The sequence below is a fragment of the Homo sapiens genome, chromosome 1, assembly GCF_000001405.40.
Source record: "Homo sapiens chromosome 1, GRCh38.p14 Primary Assembly".
In the NCBI taxonomy this organism is placed as follows: domain Eukaryota; kingdom Metazoa; phylum Chordata; class Mammalia; order Primates; family Hominidae; genus Homo; species Homo sapiens.
Genome location: NC_000001.11, coordinates 207,100,772 through 207,123,223, shown reverse-complemented (window position 1 = coordinate 207,123,223; position 22,452 = coordinate 207,100,772). Strand labels below are relative to the sequence as shown.

At 38.5% G+C, this 22,452-nt stretch overlaps 1 protein-coding gene across 3 annotated transcripts in view; it reads right to left on the bottom strand.

Moving 5' to 3' along the window:
* The window catches only part of C4BPA (complement component 4 binding protein alpha), a 40,740-nt gene extending 21,749 nt beyond the window's left edge, over positions 1 to 18,991 (bottom strand). Inside the window, exons 1-4 of one of the 3 annotated variants that reach the window (XM_005273252.5) lie at positions 18,794 to 18,991; positions 10,057 to 10,325; positions 8,939 to 9,124; positions 7,709 to 7,808 (exon numbers count right to left, since the gene is read on the bottom strand). In XM_005273252.5, coding sequence (XP_005273309.1) covers positions 7,709 to 7,808; positions 8,939 to 9,124; positions 10,057 to 10,198 — 428 coding nt within the window. In that variant the 5' untranslated portion in view covers positions 10,199 to 10,325; positions 18,794 to 18,991. The remainder of the gene's footprint in view (positions 1 to 7,708; positions 7,809 to 8,938; positions 9,125 to 10,056; positions 10,326 to 18,793) is intronic. The other 2 variants (XM_005273251.3, NM_000715.4) reach the window with 2 other exon arrangements.

Below are 22,452 nucleotides of genomic sequence, written 5' to 3'. Positions count from 1 at the left end.
AACTACAATTAAGTATTTCTTTACTTTAAAATTTCTTTAAAATGTAGTTTTTCCAACCTAGCCCAGAGACTAAGTGCAAAATATTGTTTCTGGTTGTTTCAATGGGAACACCTTAGTGTTTCAACAGCATCTTAGTTCTGATTCTTTTCACTTTCCCTTATGGAAGCCATACACAATAAGGAAAACAGAGGATAAAAATGAGAAAATCAACAAAAATGAAACAAACGGAAAAGATAAGAGAAAACTAATAGATATAGGTAACAAGCAAAAGAGAATCAACATAGGCTTAATTGGATAACCTAAAGAAGGAATCCAAGTAGAACAAAATAGCTTTTTAAAAATTTGTTTCAGGCCAGGTGTGGTGGCTTACTCCTGTAATACCAGTACTTTGGGACGCTGAGGCAGGTGAATTCTTTGAGACCAGGAGTTCAAGACCAGCCTGGCCAATATGACAAAACCCCATCTCTATTAAAAATACAAAAATCAGCTGGGCATGGTGCTGCTCTCCTGTAGTCCCAGCTACTTGAGAGGCTGAGGTGGGAGGATTGCTTGAGCCCAGGAAGTTGAGGCTGCAGTGAGCTATGATCGTGCCACTGCACTCCAGCCTGGGCAAAGGGAGTGAGACCTTGACTCAAAAAATATATATATTTCAAGTAAATGTTACTAAAATAAAACAATACGTCAATCTACATATTAAAATTGCACATCACATAGTAGCAAAAAATTAAACCAAGTGATTTCTACCAAAACAACTAAGAGTAAAAGTATTAGGTTTCAAAGATAAAGAATAATAATTTAGATAGTCAAACAAAGATCAAGCCATATGAGAAGAAATTTCAGATCAGTAGTATTCACTAGCAAAAGATAGTGCAGCAGTACCTATAAGACATCCAAGAAAAGAAAGGATGAGCCAAGGACTATATCAAGCCCCATTATCTTCTAGGTATCAATGCCTCAGATATATTATCTGAACCTGCAAGAACTCAAAGAATAATTTTCACTTGGGACTTTTTTTTGGAAACCACCATAGGACAAACTACAGCCAACCAAGAGATGACAATGGCAACTTTAGCCAAAATAAACAAAAATGGTAGCAAACATTGTACATGCAGATCTAAGAAAAAACAAATGTGATTTTAAGTGTGACTGAAGGAAATATAAATGTTATATGCTCAGACAGCACTGAAATAGTATAACTAAGAAAAAATAGAGACAGGGAAGAGAGGGTAAAATAAATTCCCTTATTGCCTGATCATTTGCAAAGTTGAGAATGAAAGCAACCATAGACACATATGAATATTTCACATTAATGTTAAATACAAAATAAACACTAAGATAATACAAATGATACAAATTTACTGGTAGGGAAGATAGAAGGGGTGAAGGAGGGGTAAGAATACAAGATAAGTTTATTGTTGTTTATAACAAGGAACCAATTTAAACTGTCTAAAGATAAAGAGGAATAATGATATTATATAAATTTAAATGTATATAGGTCACCACTAGAAACAAATTTTGAACCTTCCTAAATACCACCATATATTTTTAATAGAAAATAAATATACACATACATATATAACAAAATATGAAATAATATGATAAAACCAAGTCTATAAGTATCACTCACATCAATAAATGTAAACTCCTAATGAAAGAAAAACAGCTTTTAATTGGAGAAAATTCAGCTCTGTTATATACAGGAGACAAACCTAAAAGTGTTTCAGACAGATTAAAAATAAAAGACAGCATAAAATTATACCAAGCAAATTCAAAAGAAAACCAAAGATAATAATTTTAATATCCCATAAGTTGGACATCAGAACCAAGATTATTAAATGACACACAATGGGTACTTTATATGTTAAAGATTTTGATTTTCAGTGAAGAGCTATGAATCTTTATGTAGCAAAATATGTATGTAGCAGCAATTTTAATAAAACAGAAGTATATGAGACAAGAAAAATAATCAAAATATGCTAATTATCATTAAATTATTTTATAATGGTTAAAATAATTATAAAATTATTAATTTACTTTAACTCCTATCTTCATGCTTAAGGTATATAAAGACAAGCATAATAAAATATTCAAAACAACTTATCAAGAAAGTAGATCTGACTGAGAACAGTGGCTCATGCCTGTAATCTCAGCAGTTTGGAAGACCGGGGCAAGAGAATCCATTGAGCCCAGGTGTTCTAGACAAGCATGAGCAACATAACAAGACCTCATCTCTACAAAAGTTTGAACTTTAGCCAGGCATCATGGCACATGCCTGTAGGCCTAGCTACTCAGAAGGCTGAGGCAAGAGGATTGCTTGAGCCAGGGCAGTCCAGGCTACAGTAAGCCAAGACTGCACCACTGCACTCCAGCCTGTGTGATAGAGGGAGAACTTGTCTCAAAAAAAGAAAGTAAATCTGATGTGTATATAGCAAACTCTATATACTACTAATAAAGAAAATCCTTCATTCCAGTGCCTGTTGAAATATTAATGAAAGTTGATTGTATATCATGATGCGCCATAAAACAACTGTAAATTTTAAAACATAAAAATAAGTAACATTCTTGGTTAATCTAGAAGTCTTTTTATTTCTTTTATTTTCTGTTTTTTAAATTTTTTTATTCTTTAGAGATGGGTTTCGCTATGTTGCTCAGGCTGGTCTTGAACTCCTGGGCTCAGGTGATCTTCCCACCTCAACCTCTCAAAGTGTTGGAATTACAGGCGTGAGCCACTGCACCTGGCCCAGTCAGTTTGGAAGTCTTCAGTGGAAGAATGCTTCTACTGGGGGACGCAGCAAGAGTTCCAAAAATTAGAGTTGCCGGATTTAGCAAATACAAATACAGGGTGCCTAGTTAAATGTGAATTTCATGTAAACAATGAACACTTTTTTTAGTTTAAGTGTGATCCAAATGTTGCATGGAACATACACTAAAATTATTTGTTGTTTACCCGAAAATCAAATTTAACTGGGCATCCTGTATTTTACCTGAAAACCCTAAATTAAGCTTGGAGGTTGAGACCTGTCAACTCTGGACCCTCATGCAAGTGAAGGTAAGGCAAAGAAGGAGTCCACTTTGATGGTTGGTGTGACTAATCCTGATAATGAAGGGAAAAATTAGATTGCTTCTGCACAGTGATGGTAAAGATGAGTATGTCTGGAATGCAGGGCACCCAGACATACTGGGTGCACCCCCTTACACTCCAATGCCCTATAATTAAAATCAACAAAAAACTATAATAACCCAAATCAGGCAGGACTGCTGATGGCCCAGACCATTCAAGAATAAAAGTTTAGGTGACCCCATTGGGCAAGGAACCAACGACAGATGAAGTGCTTGCTGAGGGCAAAGAGAATATGGAATAAGTAACAGAAACATCGTTATAAATATCTGCTACAACCACATGACCAGTTGCATAAACAAGGACCATAAAAGTTGTGAATATTTCTTTCTTATTTTAATATAAATGGACATTACATTAATTGTGTTTCTTTTTACCCCTTTCCTTCCCCTACTGTATAAGATGTGTTTGTAGTGGCTTACCTTACATCTCAATATTTAAGTTATAGAATATCAAAGGGGAGATATGACTCAGCTCAAAGGGAATTCTCTTTTAGGAAAAGAATTTCCATGTTTTTGGGTGTATGAGGGATAGTTGCATTATGTAAAATGTGAGTATTACTTTGCTATTGACTTTATTTGGAAATTAAGCTAAGTATGGTTAAAACTAGTGTATACAAATATCACATTTGACAAGGAGTGAGCTGTGGTAGATTTATGTTGTGTCAACTTAGCTAAGCTGTAATTATGTTTCCCAGAATTATCTTCCATACATAATGCCAAGTTAGTATGGCCCATAAAAGACGGTAGATGTGAATTAGTAGAGCCATACTCCATATGCTAGAAAGGTCAGGGCAGAGCACAGGATGTGACTGCAGTTCACAAGCACTGTTGTTTCTCTGTTCTATCACTTTGTTAGTAGAGGGCTCAACCAGGCCACAGCAGAGCCAGCTCCTGCAGGATCTCCTCCTTCATGTACCCTGGCTTCTGATCCAAGTACATTAGCACTGTGACGGACAACTTCTACAGGACATACCCATTTTTGAAGTTGAAGGCTAAGGGGCAGTGAAAGAACAAGATGAATTCCAGTTTACAATGGTGGGCTTTACTCGCTCATCTTTGCAGGTTCCAGTTTGTCCTTGAAGCACTCAGTTCATGTCTATCTTCCCTTCCTGAGTCCCTGCCCTGCTTACTTCAGGCCACAGCAACAGACATTGAAGGAACAGCCTCCTGTAAACACCATTTAACTATCTCCCACACCTATGTCAAGTCAGGTCCCTACAATAAATCCTGCGGTTCTATTTCTCCAGGTAAATCCTGACTGACATAATTAACATAAGTAGATAAGAAAAAGAAAATGGAAATCTAAAAATTGGGAAGTAGGAGGTAAAAGAATCATTGAAATGATGTGATTACAAACCAGATAATCCTAAGAGAATTCAACTGAAAGAATTTTTTTAAATTTTTACAAATAATATGACATGGTTTGGCTGTGTCCCCACCCAAAACTCATATTGAATTGTAGTTCCTATAATCCCCATGTGTCATGGGAGGAATGTAGTGGGAAGTAATTGAATCATGGGGGCAGTTACCCCAATGCTATTCTCGTGATAGTGAGTGAGTTTCTCATGAGGTCTGTTGGTTTTATGAGGGGCTTTTCCCCCTTTACTCAACACTTCTCCTCCCTGCCGCCATGTGAAGAAGGTGCCTTTCTTCCCCTTTGCCTTCTGCGATGATTGTAAGTTTCCTGAGGCCTTACCAGCCATGTGGAACTGTGAGTAAATTAAACCTCTTTTCTTTATAAATTACCCAGTCTTGGGTATTTCTTCATAGCAGCATGAGAATGAACTAATGCATAATAAATTTAGAAAGTTGGCTGAGATATCAAACTAACATGCAGAAATCAATAGTAGATAGATGATAGATAGATAGATAGATAGATAGATAGATAGACAGATGATAGATAGATAGATGATAGATAGATAGATATAGATAGATAGACAGACAGACAGACAGACAGACAGACAGACAGATAGATGATAGATAGATGATAGATAAACTAGTTACAATACAAATTGGATAAATAATCCATTTAAAATACCAAAAACATTTTTTGTTTGGTTTTGCCAGAGGTTTAAACTCTTCAAGAAATGCAAAATCTATGTGAGGAAAGCTGAAACACACATGAAGAAACAAGGAAAAAAAGACTAAGACGAACTGAGGAAAGCATAGCAAAGGGTAGCAGAATATGCCAAAATAGACCAGTTTGGCATAAAGATTGTTTTTTGAGTTAAAAGCACTTGAAACACAGCAAGATGCAGGAAGGGCACTCTGACCTCCCCTTTTCTTCCTGAAGGCAGGACATGAAACTCTCACAGGAAAGATACCTTCCCTGTACCTGAAGGAAAAGAACACTCTTATCACCAGAGGCAGGGAGTCAAGGCCAAGAGAAATCTGTACAAAGAAACTTTGTACAAAGACCACTTTTTGGGTCTTCATTTTCCTGTGAAGTTTCCTATGTACTTGTTAAAATAAAACCTGTGTGCTTTTCTCCTGTTAATCTGTTTCATGTCAACTTAATTCTCAGGCCTGGTGGAGACCCTAAGAGGGTAGAGGAATAGTTTTGCCTTCTCTACGGTAACATATTCTTAACTAGAGAGAGTCAACATTATAAAATATCTATTCTCCTAAAGTTAATTTTACCAGTTTATTTTTCGAGATGAGGTCTTGCCCTGTCACCCAGGTTGTAGTGCAGTGGCACTATCATGGCTCACTGCAGCCTCGACCTCCCAGGCTCAAGTGATCCTGCCACCTCAGCCTGTTGCATAGCTGGGACTAGAAGTGCGTGCTACCACACTCGGCTAATGTTTTTAATTTCTTGTAGAGACAAGGTCTCCCTGTGTTGCCCGGGCTGGTCTCGAACTCCTGGACTCAAGAGATCTTCCCACCTTGGTCTTCCAAAGTGCTGGGATTACAGGTGTGAGCCACTGCACTTCACCTAAAATTAATTTTAAAACTAATCTAACACTGATTTTAAAATATGTCTAACTTTAAAGTTCTTATAGAAAAATAAATACATACTGTCAGGAAAACTTCAAAAAAGAAGAGCAATAAGATAGCTCTACCCATATTGGCTATTAAAACATATTATAAAGCTTCAATTATTAAATGACTGTGAAACGCATACATAAATGTACAGGAAAAATACGGGCATTGAATAGAAAGTCCAGAAATAGACCTAGATAAGTATATGAATTTTATATAATATCAAAGAGCATCTTAAATCAGTAAAGGCAAACTTTTAAATAAGTGGTGTTGGCGTAACAGGAAAGCAATATGAAAAGATATAGTCTAAAATCTGTACCTCATACTGTATACTGTATATTAACTCCAAATAAATTAAAGCTTTGAATATTAAAAAATATGAAAATATAAAAGAAGTAGAGGAAATATAGGCGATTTTTTTTAAACCTTATATTGGGGAAGGCCTTAGGACATAAAATCCAAAAGCCATTTCTAAAAGGGAAATTGATGAATTTAACAACATAAATACAAATAATTTCTCCTTAAGGGGAAAAAATACCAATAGCCAAGTCAAAAACATTATACACACACACACACACACACACACACACACACACACACACACATATACACACACACACACACACTGTGGGAAAAGTTACAGTATATATCAGAATCAAGGCCTAAATCCTGCAATGCACAGACTCATGTGTATGTCTAAATGTATACATCCTAAAACTTAAGAATAAAAAGTTCAACAAGTTAAGGAAAAAAAACAACAACCAGGCATCAGACATGCTAACTAGTGCACAAATAAATACAAACATCCCCTGGACATATAAAACTATACTTAACCTCCCTGACAATAAGAGAAATGTACAGTGAAACTATAGTGAGATTTTATTTTCACCTCTTACATTGGGAAAAATTCAAAAATTTGACAAGTTTTCGAAAGTTTGACAACACAGTTGGAGAGTTTGTGGAGAGACAGACATTTACATACTCTGCAAAACCATGAAACCCTTAGGGAAAGCAGTCTGACAATATCTTTCAAATTTTCAAATATACATACTCTTTGAGCCAGAAAGGCCTCCTCTAGGAAGCTATCCTGCAGATGTAACTACATATGTATAAAATGACACACATACAAGAGAATACTTCAGAGCATTGTTCAGAATAGCAAAAGATTAGAAACATCCATGGATCCATCACAAGGACGGCAAAGCCATGACACAACTACACAACAACATTCTATGCAGTTGTAAAAAGAAATTAATGAGGAAACTCTCTATGCGCAAACATGGAAATATCTCCAGTATACATTGATAAGTAAACAATAAAGCAAGATTCAATACTAGGTTCATTAGAGGAAAGGGGGGAAAATAAGAATATATGCTAACTTCTTAGCTTGTATTTATATAAGGAAACACTAGAAAGATATATACGAACCAATAAAAATAGATCTTTGCTTGAGGACGGGAAGGAATGTGGTGTATGGAGATAGGATGGAAATGAGAATTCTCAACGTCTATCTTTTTACATCATTTTAAATTTTGAAATATACGAACACTTCAGCTATTTTTTAAATAAATATAAAAGAATTGTTCATAGATTACCTCACACTCACCCTTCTGAACAGCTGAATTCTATTTGTGATCCAAAAGATAAATCTGTCTTAATCTCTACTTGCCCATTACGTAACTCTCCTGGGTGTCTGCATCGTTTGTCTGGGAGAAAAATTTAAATGATGATTAGTACTTCCAAGTACTCACAGATATGGCATTAGAAAAGAAAAGAAATTAACCAAGGTTCACCTCTGCTTCCAGAAACACAGAGAGATTTAGATTCAAACTTATTTCTAACCCTGACTCACCTCAAAATTAATACAAAATTTGATCACCTTTTTTTCTGGTACATTTTACCAATAGAGAAAAATGACCAGTTAAATAATTGCAGCAGCAGAACACGTGGTCCAGGACTTAATAAGCTGACCAGGGACGGGAGAGCTTTGCTTCATTCTATGTCTATGGCATGTACTTAGAACCTAGGCCACTAAAAAATGCATGTCACAAAAGGAACAAAAAAGAGAAAGTATTGATTGTATACCCCTGCTATTGGAAAACATCACAGAATGCATTCCCAACTGACAGTGAATTATAACTTTTCTTCAAAACACAGCAAATATTTTGAGTGAGGTTCTTTTGAAAACTGCATTGCCTCTTTCTAGCCACCTACCTTTTTTATAATTTTTTAAAAAGTGAATCTGATTTTCAATAGATCATAATGAAATTTGTGGTTCTTTTCTTGAAAGAAGTGTTTGGTGGATTACTTTATAAAGAATAGACTTCTAACCAGGCCCAGTGGCTCATACCTGTAATATCAGCACTTTGGGAAGCCGAGGCAGGCAGATCACTTGAGGTCAGGAGTTTGAGACCAGTCTAGCCAATATGGTGAAACCCTGTATCTACTTAAAACAGAAAAATTAACCAGGTGTGGTGGTGCACGCCTGTAATTCCAGCTACTCAGGAGGCTGAGGCAGGAGAGTCACTTGAAACCAGGAGGCAGAGGTTGCAGGGAGCCAAGATTCCACCACTGCACTCCAGCCTGGGAGACAGAGCTAGACTCTGTCTCAAAAAAAAAAAAAAAAAAAAAAAAAAGAACAGAGTTATTTTTCAATGCAATTAACTACCCCTAATTTTTCTGTTTTGCTTTTTCAAAAAATGCCACAAGTATGTACATTGAAATCAGTAATTGACAAACTGTCTTCTTGGTGACTAAAGATTCAGAAAATTTAGTTTCTGAGACAACTTTCCAAAGATAGGAAAAGCAAAGGAAAAAAATAAATGTTGATACTTACAGATACAGAAGGTGTTATACACCCATTCGCCATCAGAATTACAGGTAAGCGTCTGAGTTGAATGGGATCTGACGTAGCCAGGGAGGCAGGTGTATTTCAGAGTAGTTCCAGTTTTGAAGCGTGTCTCAGTCAACGTAATATCCATCGGGGCAGCAAATGATAAAGTGGGTGGAGGACCACAATTGCCTGGACACCAAAATGAGAAGGAGCACCAAAACTTATACCTTGGGACACAGCATCTTATTGTTTCTGAAGTGTGATGTTTAGAGCAGGGATCGTTCTTTTCAAGAATGATCTCTAGTCAAGAAAAATCATAACTCCTATTATACTCTCTGTTCAATACACCTAGTGAGTGATCAGTAATATATATTTGTTCACAAATGATAATGACAATGATAACAATAAACAATAATGATAAAAGGCAGAATTTTTTTCCCTTCTCTGCTACATATGGGATAATTTATCTGAAAAAGAAGAAAGACATGAACTTCACCAACCTGACTCCCCATATCTGCTGACTCAAATGCATCTGTGCAAAGTCAGAAGTCACTACAAGTTGCCTCAACAGAAACATATTATTGTATTCAAATAACATTATATAACTTTGGTTGCCTCAGGGAAGGGAAACAGGGTGGCTGGGAAATGGGTAAAAATAACATTTTTAATTTATTTTTTTTACATCTGTTTGATTTTGAATGATATGGAGGAAGAAGCATGGAGCCCTTGAAGCATAAAAATCTTAACTTTGCTTTTTTTGCAAGAATTAAGTACCAGGCTGATTTACTTTTTAAGCACCCCCTGAATAAACCCACAAACAGTGAAAATTGTTTAGTCATAGTAATAGATAATATAGATCTGTCCATATTATCATCCATATAGATGGTTGGGAGAGAAATTCTTTCCTGGAGAAATAAAAATCTAGGGGAAAGTGTCTATAACACTATTTCCTTTATGTGTAAAGCAAATTTCCCTAAGTTCTAGCCTGTCAAATAAACCACTTGTTGATGAAGCTGGGTCTCTGCTAGAAGCTCAGTCATCATTTTTTTTAGCCTTAAAAGTGAATGCACAGATGATCTTCATTGTTTGTTGCTGATTTGAGCTTGTTTCCCACTACTCACCAAGAACAGCAGGCAACAGAGCAGCGATCAAGGTCATTTGGAAGAGAATTGGATCAGAGACTTTCCACAGCCTGGAGAAGGGCCAGGCTGCCATTTTCCTTTTTCTATGAAGAGCCCCAGATGGAGTTTTTGGGGGGTGCATGGCCTGCTGCTTCGCTGATGTTTTTCTGCTGAAAGAACTCAATTTAATAAATAGTCATTGAATTCCAACTTGTCATAAAGCACTAGAATAAATGTTATGGGATCCATGTCTTCAAGGAAATGACAGCCTGGAGTGGAAACAAAACAAAAAAACCCCTGAGCACAAATGTTACAGCACAAGACAGTAAGGATTGGCCTCTGCAGAAGCTGTGAGCTCAGAAGAGAGATTGATTCCAAGTGGAGGGAGGGAGTGGGCTTTGCAGAGGAGACTGCATCTGCACTAGGTATACTGAAGACACTGCAGAATGGATGCAGGGCATGTTGAGGGAACAATAGATAATATTCCAATTTGGCTGAATGTCTGAGATGGGGAAGGGACAGTTTACAGATGTGTCTGAGTGGGATGTAAACGTCAAGTTTAGGAAATTCATAGACTTTACTCCTTGGGGAATAAAAGTGCTTGTTTTTGATGTGAATGTTTGTTTTTAAGCTGAGGAATGACATAATTATTATGCTTTAAGATCATTATGGCAGACATGCACAAGATAAATTAAAGGGATTAGAGGAAAGAAACAGGGAGGTTGAGTGAGAAGACTTGCAATTGGCCAGATGATCTAACAAAGAAATGACAGAGGACTTAAAAGAAAGGTACAAACATAAAAAAAAAAAAAAAAAACAAAAAGGCAGGAAAATGATGGGATAGAGAGAAAGAGTTGAGTCGCCGTATAGAAGTATTGGGAGTTCCTTGTGAGAACTATTGACAAAGGCAATAAACCATGAAGCAATTTGCAGTTTTGAAAAATGATCATAAACACACACACACACATATATATATATGAAAAATATACATGGCAAATGCACTTTTATTTTTAAATCAGACTATATAGACTTGTTTAAAGCAAAATTAGTAAGGACTTTTTTTTTTAATCTTCATCACCACTTCCCATTCCCTTTGGAGAACACAACATATCCTAAGTTTGTGTTAGGAAAAAGTCCCTTTCCTTTGGGTAGATACTCAATAGTGGGAATCAAAGGGGAGTTCTATTTTTAGTTTTTTAAGAAATCTCTGTACTGTAAATCTATAAAAATAAAAAATTAAGAAAAGAAATAGTCCTTGTCTTCAAAGGAATATATGAAGTTAACCAAATTCACTCCCATAAAATAGTGAATTTCATCCTTTACTTTGACATCTTTGTTAGATCCAGATGGTTGGACGCTCTCGTGCATCCATAATTCATACAAAGCCCATATACATTTAGGTAAAGGGAGTCCCTTCAATCAATATTTCTCCCCAAGATGTTTCAGTCCCACATAATGTAGGACTGTAATGTAATGTATATCTAAGGTAATGTTCAGTCCCTCAACATAAAGCTGGTCTCAGTAATATGGGCCAGTCTTACATAATGTGGGACTGAAACATCTTGGAGAGAAACTGTGTGGGAGAAGGGAAGTTTATAGTGCCCTTCATTCTTTGTGGGGTCTAATTTCTTCATTGAGTAAAGACTCACATAAGCTTCTTCTCTTTCTAAAACTTAGTTCTGATGAAGCCATCCCTCCACCTGTTGTCAGCTGTGGGAACCCCATGTCACACACGTCCTGTCCCATGAGCTCTATACATCCCCACCGGGGCAATTCTGCCAATACGTAAATTCACCTAACGAGCAATTTACCAGTTGTAGTCACTTACTGGAAATGTGTTCACAGACTTTGTACTGAATGAATCCAGGTGGTCTAGAGAGGTTGGGAGGAGCCAGGACCAACATTCTGGGACTTCATACTTCCCCTTTCTACTCAGTTTCCCCCTCTTTTTTCCCATTATCCTCCTTCCTAACTCTATGCTCCTCTCTGCCCTCACAATCTTGTGAAGCTGGAGACAGCTGAGAGCCAGGCAGGTTGCATATCATGAAAACCACCTCACTCATCATCTGTGAAATTCATAAAATGTGACAAATTTCTCCCACCCAATAAGATATGTTATGAACTATGAAAACTATGGGAAAAAGTTTCTTCAATTTTTGACAATGAGTAGATTTGTTGTGTTTATTGAATTTCAGTGAAATTGAAGAAAGAGATTAAAAACACCAGTGGGGTGGCAAAATAGAATTGACTATGAAAAATCAAAAGGATAAGAGTAGAAAGTGGAAATTTCCCCTAGGAATTGTTGCAGTTGTTATTACATTCACAAGAAAAATATATATGTTGAATATGTTCAGAAAAATATTCATGACTATATTTACAAAAATACAACCATAAGATTAAATCATTAGCTTCAAGAAGTTGAACAAAAATATCTTAAATGCCACTAAAATATGTATTCATTAGCTACATTCAAAAAGGATATATTTATACTCATTGAATACTCAAAATGATTTCTTTTTCTTTTTCTTTTCTAAAATTGTAATAGAGATGTGATCTTACTATGTTGCCCAGGCTGGTCTCAAACTCCTGGCCTCAAGCAATTCTCCCGCCTCGGCCTCCCAAAGTGCTGGGATTACAGGCATAAGCCACCATGCCTGGCCTCCAAAATGAATGTTTCTTGAAACAATGTTAGATAAATTGATACTTTGATAAATTCAGCAAATTTATTTCTATGAACTGATCCTTCAAGTACTGGCATTCACTCAATTGGCTTTGATGACTAACTTTTCGGTATTGTGGTCTGACCCCTTAGGCTCCAGCTATCCTGGACAACCAGAATTCCTTACCATTCCCAGCACTTTCCTATCTCCCATTCCTGTCCACATCATCTACCCTCTCTCTTTTTCCTCTTTAATTCCTACTCATTCTGCCAGTCCCTTCTCCAGCATTCCCTCCTATCCAAGCAAGCCTCCACATACCAAGTACAATTTTGTATTTATAACTCTGATTCGGACTTGGTCTGTAACTCACATCTGAAGTCTGCCTTCACCACTAAACCACAAGATCCTTGAAATGACAGAGTATGCTCCCATTTATTTCTGCCCCACAATAGTACCTAGCCTGCGCCTCATGAAGTTAAAGTGCTCACAAAATGTGCATTGAATTTAAATCCAAAAGCTCCTAGTGATAACGTGTGTTCCAAAGAAAAGTAGTACTGTGCCATATCAGTGTCTCCCCTTACAGTGTATGCTTTGTTAAGGACTGATTTTACCTGATTTTAAAGCAAGGCAAACACCTGTATTTTAATGAGAACTGGCCCAAATAATTTTACTCTAGGCTCTTCCATTCTTAAACTGAAGTCATCATATCATCAACTAGTCAAGGGAGGACAGTGAAGGAGGGAAGCAGTAGGCAAAAACTGGTTCTCCTCCTTCCACAGGTTATGACAGGAGATACAGACAAATGCAGACCCTACACTGTGATGAGGAAGTTATTTCACTCCCTTTACTTCATCCTCACACCTAGGCCATGGCCACAGAGCTGGGGACAGAGGAGGACAGTGTGGCCAAGACCTTGGGCATGGGCTCTGGAGTCACACCCAGAACATGTGAGTTGGCGTCCTGGCTCTACCACATGGGAACCGAGTCCCATGGACAAAACACTCAGTTCCTCTAAGCCTCAGTTTCCTTTATTATAAAATAAGAAGGATAACTGTAATTATATCTCGGAATTTCTGAGAGGGGCTTGGCATGGTGTGTGGACAGCACATAGTAAACATTCAAAAGAAATTATAGGGAAGAGTTTCATAGAATTGGCATTGGAATGTCACTCTGTCAGAAGCCAAACTCCTGGATGTCAAAACATTGTCATCATAATGATTTAAAATTGCAATAAATGGTTGCATCACCAGGGACTTTAATTACACCCCAGTGCAGAGGAGCATCCACTGAACTTCCGGCTAGAAGCCCTGGATCTGGTCTCCACTGTGGCCTTTGGTACAGTGAGATCTAATGTGTCATGCACAGCAGAGGAATGCTGGGGCCTCTGGGGCTGTCCTGGGGCTTTGTCTTCCCTTGCCCTCAACTATCTTCCTGAAAGGAAGTCATCCACATCCATAACTTTAATCATCATACCTGAATCACCCACAGGTCAGACGCGGTAGCTCACGCCTGTAATCCCAGCACTTTGGGAGGCTGAGGCGGGCAGATCACGAGGTCAGGAGTTCAAGACCGGCCTGACTAACATGGTGAAACCCCGTCTCTACTAAAAATACAAAAATTAGCTGGGTGTGGTGGTGCACGCCTGTAATCCCAGCTACTCAGGAGGCTGAGGCAGGTTAATCGCTTGAACCCGGGAGGCAAAGGTTACAGTGATCCGAGATCACACCACTGCACTCCAGCCTGGGCGACAGAGAGACTCCGTCTCAAAAATAAATAAATAAATAAAATGAATCACCCACAGACCTCTGGGCCTAATTGTCTCTGGTTCATGCAAAAACTTCCATGCTCCATAAATTCAATTGTTAATAATTATTTTATTCTGTCTTATTCCTTCCTCCGTGTAAGTTTTAAGCTATTCAGGCTTGTCTTCTTTACTCTGGTTGCTAACTAGTTAAATTCTGGTGCTCAAATTACGTCTTTCTAAAGGCAATGAAATAAATCTCTGTAAAATAAGGAGGAACTCTTTTCCTCTGCAGCTGCAAAAAAGCAGATGATAATCTACGTGACAAAACTGACCTTGCAAATGTTTTTTCTAACAAAGGAGTCGTTCCTGGATTTTAGAGATTGCTCTGCCACATGACAGTAATTTTAACCTCAGAAAAGTGTAATTCTGACTGGTTATCTTAGTGAATTTTTTTTTCTGGAATAATATTTAAATAAACATTTCTGTTTACTGAAAGTTATAAGTGCTTGTGAGTTTTCCTTGCCAAATCCAGAAATAATTATTACACTTTCCTCTTTATCTGCAAACTTGAAAGTAAACTAAAACTTTTTGACTCTGTTAGATTTCTCATTTAAGCAAATAATAATAATAATAATAATTTAAGTTAAAATTCCCAAGGTTCAAATCAATATTTCCAATCACTTCATTTGTATCTCCCAGGCACCTTGAATTTAACATGTTTCAAACTAAATTCACTATGTTCCTCCAACACTACTTAATATCTGTGCTTTCTGTCTCAGTGAAGGTGACAATCTCCACCCAGCCTCCCAGACTAGAAATCCAAGTCATTATTGCCTCCTCTGTCTCACCTCCTTGCACTATTCAGAGTCGTCAAGTCCTATCAAGTTGGTCATAGCAGCTGCACCAGAATCTGCCACTCTCTCCAACACTCCACTTCCATAGTCCAGGTTTAGGTTCCTATAATTCCCTTCCCCTCACCCTAGACCACTGCAAAAGCCTTCAAACATTTATAAGCCAGCTTCCATGTTGATGCCATTATGTCCCTAAAAAGCAATTTATGTGTTGTTACTCTGCTTAAAAACATTCATGGTTCCCAGTTTCCATAGGTTCCCCTATCTGTCCCAGTTTTCCCATCATTTCTCACTTAGAACACCATGCTTCAGTCTCAAGGAGGCACTTACCCTTCCCCAAAAACATTCTGGATTTCTTTTTTGAGACAGGGTCTCACTCTGTGTCACCCAAGCTGGAGTGAAGTGGTGCAATCACAGCTCACTGCAGCCTCAACCTCCTGGACTCGAATGATGCTCCCACCTCAGTCTCCCCAGTAGCTGGGACCACAGGAGCGTGCCATCACACCCAGCTAATTTTTTAATTTTTTGTAAAGACAGGGGTCTCACTATGTTGCTCAAGCTGGTCTTGAACTCCTGGCCTCAAGTGAACCTCCCACCTCGGCCTCCCAAAGTGCTGGAATTATAGGCGTGAGCCACCATACAAAGCCAGGATTTTTTTAAAAAACACCTGCAAGCATTTGCAGTTAATGTCTCCCATGCATTAATGCTCTTACCTCCAACTTCTCCTTTACTCACTATTCCTTTACTCACTATTCAGATCAAATGTCACCTCCTTGGTGAAGCATTGCCTGACTTCATCATGAAATGCCAGTGTTTTCTGTTCTTCTAGTACTTGGCTAATACCTTAATTGTAGCATTGTTTTGTATCCTAACTATCTATTTGCTTTTGCCTCCCGAAATACATTGTGAATTCCTTGAAGACAAGGAAGGTGTTTATTCAACTTTCCATCTCTAACGTGGTATTGTAATTGGTCTATATAACCCCGTGACTCCTTTGTTAAAAAAAAACATTTGCAAGGTCAGTTTTATCACGCAGATTATCATCTGCTTTTTTGCAGATGCAGAGGAAGAGAAAAGAGTTCCTCCTTATTTCGCAGAGATTTCTTTCACTGCCTTTAGAAAGACCTAATTTGAGCACCAGAATTTAACTAGCTTAAAACTTACACAGAGGAGGCCGGGTGCAGTGGCTCACGCCTGTAATCCCAGCACTTTGGGAGGCCAAGGCAGGCAGATCACGAGGTCAGGAAGTCGAGACCATCCTGGCTAACACGGTGAAACCCTGTCTCTACTAAAAAGACAAAAAATTAGCTGGGCGTGGTGGCGGGCGCCTGTAGTCCCAGCTACTCGGGAGGCTGAGGCAGGAGAATGGCCTGTGAACCCGGGAGACGGAGCTTGCAGTGAGCAGAGATTGCACCACCGCACTCCAGTCTGGGCAACAAAGCGAGACTCCGTTTCAAAAAAAAAAAAAAAACTTACACGGAGGAAGGAATAAGACAGAATAAACAATAATAAATCTAAAAGGAATGAAAGTCAATTTAATTTTATCTTTAGAATGAGAATGACTGTCTCACTGAGGACCAAATGAAATAATGTGTGTGAAATGCTTTGTCAGTTTTGAAGAGAGATAATACAGTGACTAGACTTCCCTAACAAACCATCAGGATGCATCCTAACTCTTCTCCAACTACGGCATTTGCAGTTCACCATAACTACTCCTGGTGGTCCCTCAGCAGAAACCAGCTGGCCACAGAGTATGGGAATGGAGGCTAGAACTTGCGAGCTGAGAAGACACAAGTTGGAGTTCCAGCAATACCACAGTCTAAGTCTGTGATCTTGAAGAAGCTATATCAGCTTCTTGGATATCAGTTCCCTCCATCTCTAAAATAATGACATTAAACCTAGATGAACAAATTCTGCAATTCTGTAACTGCTCACTGAAAAGCTGAGACTACTCTAGCCAACTTTCATATTTCAAGGACTTCACCTTTTAAATTCCTGCAGAAATGGAACCAACTCAAGAACTTTAGTCAGCATGGCGGGTCCCTTGTGAAAAATAATATCAGCACTTAGCAATGCAGTGCAATTTGAGAGTCACTGGAAAAATCTTTAGTCCTCAAATTTCTCCTTCCATGAGAAGTTACTTTTTAAGTTAATATTTATTTTGTCTAACTTCCCCCTTTTAAAATGCAGATACCTTGTGAAAGGATAGTATTTTTCTCCAGTCTCGGGCTGAGTGTCTTCTTCCTTATACCTGGGCTCTCAATTATATCACTTACAAACTCCAGAAAGAACTGGCTCCCACACTTTCCCCACCCTTCCTAGAATCTCTTTTTTTTTTCTTTTTTTTTTTTTTTTGAGGTGGAGTTTCACTCTTGTTGCCCAGACTAGAGTGCAATGGCACGATCTCAGCTCACCCCAACCTCTGCCTCCCTGGTTCAAATGATCCTCCTGCCTCAGCCTCCCAAGTAGCTGGGATTACAGACATGTGCCACCATGCCTGGCTAATTTTGTAATTTTAGTAGAGACAGGGGTTCTCCATGTTGGTCAGGCTGGTCTCGAACTCCCGACCTCAGGTGATCCGCCAGCCTCGGCCTCCCAAAGTGCTGGGATTACAGGAGTGAGCCACCGTACCTGGCCAAATCTCTTTATTTTTCTATCAGCCCCTTTATTCTGTGCTCATACTACATTCAAACATATCTCTAAGCTTAATGCCAACCTTCTTTGATGCTTCTGCCTCTTCTGTAGTCTACTTTTTATTCTTTTGGTGTTACCATATTTAGAGATAGAATAGGAATCAGCAAAGAGACAAGTGGTTGAAGAATTAAAATGAGGACCAGAATGGTACTGTATCCTGGCCAACCAAGGAAGAAGAGAATTTCAAGAAGGAAGGGTTATCAGCATCGTCAAATTCAGAAAGTAAAGAAGATGAGGACGACTAAGACTGCTAGCTTCAGAAACCAACTGGAGGCTGGCCAGTGTCCTCCTTATTACCAAATCTAAACATCTTTGCTGTCAGTGGTGGAGGAGATTTGGAGTGGTTAATCAAATCTCAAAATAGAAATGGCCCCAGTTTTCAGAATGTAGACTAAGAAAAGCAAGCTTCCTGTGAACCCTTTGAAAAGTCTGATTGACCCCTTGCCTCAACTCTGATGTGGGAAGGTGGTGAAAGATCAACAAACCAACACATCTGTCTTTTAGATACAGTAACAAGAGCAACACCTTACACCTCTTCTTCTTTAGCTTATTTTATTAGAATGCAATATTATTCCTCCATTTATAATTTTTAAAACTTGAGGTTCAGATAGGGTTTAAAGTACGTCTCAAGTCTTACATCCCCCTAATACAGTGCTCCTGAAAAGATTTCTGCTGAAAACACCTCCAAGCTTTTGTCTCTGTTTTATCCTTCTAATCCTGCACTCCTTAAAGGGCCAAACCACCAGCCTTTCCTCCAAGCTTCCCCAAGGGTTTAGTAGTCCACCGACCTTTGGTAGTTGAGGAAGAGCAGAAGACTCTATGATGATATCTGGGATAGTTTCTCAAAGAAGAAAACTGCCTTGATCTATGTAGTCCTGGTTCCTCCCCAGATCAGAGTTTATCATAATACCCTGAAGTTGACTGGTAATTGCTCCACCAAAGAGTCCCTGAATTTCAGCCATGTGGTTGGCTGGTCAAGGACGGTTGATGGAAATAGATGGGCAGAAACTTTTGACGGGCCCAATGAATGATTAACAGCAGAAATAAAGCAGCACTGTTTACCTAAGCTCCTTCCTCTTTGCTAGTCCTCATTCTTCGTAACATGTCGCAATCGTTTATTTTCTCCTCTGCCAACCATTTCCCCTAAGTGGAAAGGTAATTTGAATTTGAAGCCAGAATTCTTTTTTCTTTTCATAAACACATAAGGGTTATGGCAAGACACAGTCCAGCTAGCCTGGAAACCTTGGATACTGCGAGGTTCAGAGAGCCTCCGCAAAAATGATCCACTTTCCATGACACTAGGTCCAGTATGCTTTCCTGGAGTTTGAAAACTGATATTCTTGCCCAGAGCTCGTCTCTATCCCACCCCAAGGAATTACAAAAGGTGGGGAATTTATCAAACATGCATTGGGTTTCCACTATGTGCTGAGTTATCTAGAACGTATTTGGAGTTCAGCAAATGTTAACTGCTACTACATGTCAGGCACCAGAGGGCCTCCAAAAATTGATCTATCCAGTGCGCTCAGAAGAACGCAATGAAGGACCGGCCATGTTTCCTCTCGCATAGATCTAAAAAGACCACAAGCACTTACATAGTCCAATTAAGCTACTAATCCTCAAGGTTAAGATTTGTGTGCTCAGAAGATTGCTATTAAAAGGCAATTCTTTCTGAGAACTTCACTTTTTCTGTAATAAATACTGAAAGTCCCAGAAGAGTTTCAGAAAAGGAACTAAACTACAACAGGTTGAGTTAATCAAGGAAGTTTCTACAGAAGATGTGAGATTTGGATAAAAGGTAGAAATTATTAGATAAAAGTGGTAAGGATATTAGATGTAAAGAAACCATGCGCTAGGTCACCAAGGTGAGACACTGATTTGACCAGAATGAAGATAGAGGAGGATTCCAGATTGCACAGTCTTGAGACTAAATTGGAAGAAATATCACCTTTAAAGCTGCTATTTCTTTAAAGTACCGTTTTCCAATGTATTGAAGTCCTTTCGTTTACTTTCCACAGTGACTCTTGCAGATTTTTCTCTCCAGGTCACCAAATTGTCACATTCCCTCTCAGCAGATGCTCTTACCTCCTACTTTACTAAAAATCATTCTACCTTAGCTTCATCAATGTCAAATTTTCCCTCCTATTCACTCCTCATTCCGAGGAGAATTGTTTCTTCTTTTCCTGCCTCATTTTCAATGCATCTCTCATCCTGAAATGTCCCTTCAATTTTGCCAATACCTCAAATTCCACCTTTCTTCTTTAGTGTGATGCTGAACTTCTCAAAGGTGTGACTTGTTCTACCTGCCTGTTCTTTCTCATTCATCACTCCACCTGTTGCTTTCCCATCTGGCTTCTACCACTCTTCTACTGACATGTCTCTCTGAGGCACGCCCTTAGGTCCAAGTCCAAAATATCTTTAATTCATTTCTTAGGATCTGTCTGCAGCCTTTGTCACTGCTGATCATTTCCTTTCTGAAACTCTCTTCTCCTTTGGCTTCCATGACACTAAACTTACCTGATTCCCTTAACTTAACTAATTTCTCTTTCTTAGTTACTGTTACCTTCTCTTCCTCCTTCTCATTCCTAAATATAGATATATCTCAGGCTCTTCTTTTTTTAAAAAAATTATCTTCGCAATTTTAATGATCTTGCCTTCTGTCACAGCTTTAACTATTACCAGTAAGAAGACTAGCCAGCACTACATTATTATTTCTGATTACTCTCCGAAACTCAAGACTTACTTTCTTAGGTTTTGTTTTTTTTTTCCCCCCACTGGACATCTTGCAAGCACTTCACCCTCAGCACATCCAAAGAGGAATTTCTCATTTCCGGCCAACAAGCTTCACTTTCTGACCCCAGCTTTTTCTGACCTCTGGTTCTCGGGAATAAAATTTCAGATTCACTTTTGAACTCTTCCTCTCCCTCACCCTTCAATGTTTGATTAGTTGACAGGTTGTTTTGATACAAGTTTTCAATATCTCTCGTGTCTGCTGCTGCTTTTTCATTTCTGCTGCCACCAAACCAGTTCAGGTTGATAATGCCTCCCATATGGACTATTGTAGGAGTCCTTTCGTTGGTTTCTCTTAGTTCTTTTCCCTCATCAACCAATACTACAACCAACATTGTGAGAGAAATCTTTCTTTATGTTCTGTCCTTATTACTTCATTGTTTGCAAGGCTTCCATGTCTTCATGGTCTGACTGCCAAAAAACAAATGTATATTCTCTGCCTACCAAAAACAAGTGTATATTCTCTAGCACGTCATTCAAAAGCCTCCATAAACTGGCTTTGACTTATCTTTCCAGCCACCTTCTCTCTCACCAATTTCCATGCTTCATCTAGGCCAGTCCAGGCTATGTGCAAGTTCCTAAACATATCCCATTTTTTCTGCCTCTGTGCAATGCCTTCTAAAATTATTATTAGAAATTCATTTTACAACATTAAAAAGTTTTAAGAGAATAAACACTTATAATTTCATATTCTAAGACAAATGTTTTTATCTGTGCCTATTATTGTCTAATCCTTTCCCACAAGAATAAAGGTTTTACATAAATGCAATCATAAGCCCTTGTTATTAAATATTCTATTTTTACTTAAGATTGTATTTTTAAGATTTTCTACTTCCTCATATTTATCACCATATAGGTCTGCATTACATTTAAAGTACCATAATTTATTCAAAATTTTCCTAAGAGTAGACATTTCAAATGCTCATAAGATCCTCCTAGATAGATAATATGTACAAATAAGAAGTAGCTTCAATTTCAAATCATTTTCCTCCAGTTAGATTAATCCTAGGAATGAATTTACTTGGTTAAAAATCTTATTATTGGCCAGGCGTGGTAGCTCATGCTTGTAATCCCAGCACTTTGGGAGGCCGAGGCGGGCAGATCACCTGAGGTCAGGAGTTCGAGACAGCCTGACCAACATAGGGAAACCCCGTCTCTACTAAAAATACAAAATTAGCCGGGCATGGTGGCGCATGCCTGTAATCCCAGCTACTCAGGAGGCAGAGGCAGGAGAATCGCTTGAACCCAGGAGGCAGAGGTTGTGGTGAGCTGAGATCACGCCATTGCACTCTAGCCTGGGCAACAAGAGCGAAACTCCATCTCAAAAAAAAAAATTGGTTTTAAATCTTATTATTGTCTTACTCCATTTCTCAAATATTCTTTCCAACTGGAATGAGCTCTTTAATCTTTGTCTCTAATTCTCACTTACTTTTGAAGGCCCAAATAACTGTGACTTCTTCCTTGACAATATTCCTGCCTCCTCCTCCCAGACAGAAGTGAACCTCCTCTCATCTGAGCTCTCATAGCCCACTGTTGTCTGAAAATGTTTAGTTCATTCTAACCACTCTAAAATAATGCTACGTGTGTACATGTCTTGTGCCTATTAGTAGACTCTGGGGTACTCAAGAGTCCATCTCTTATTCCCCTTCATAACTTTACC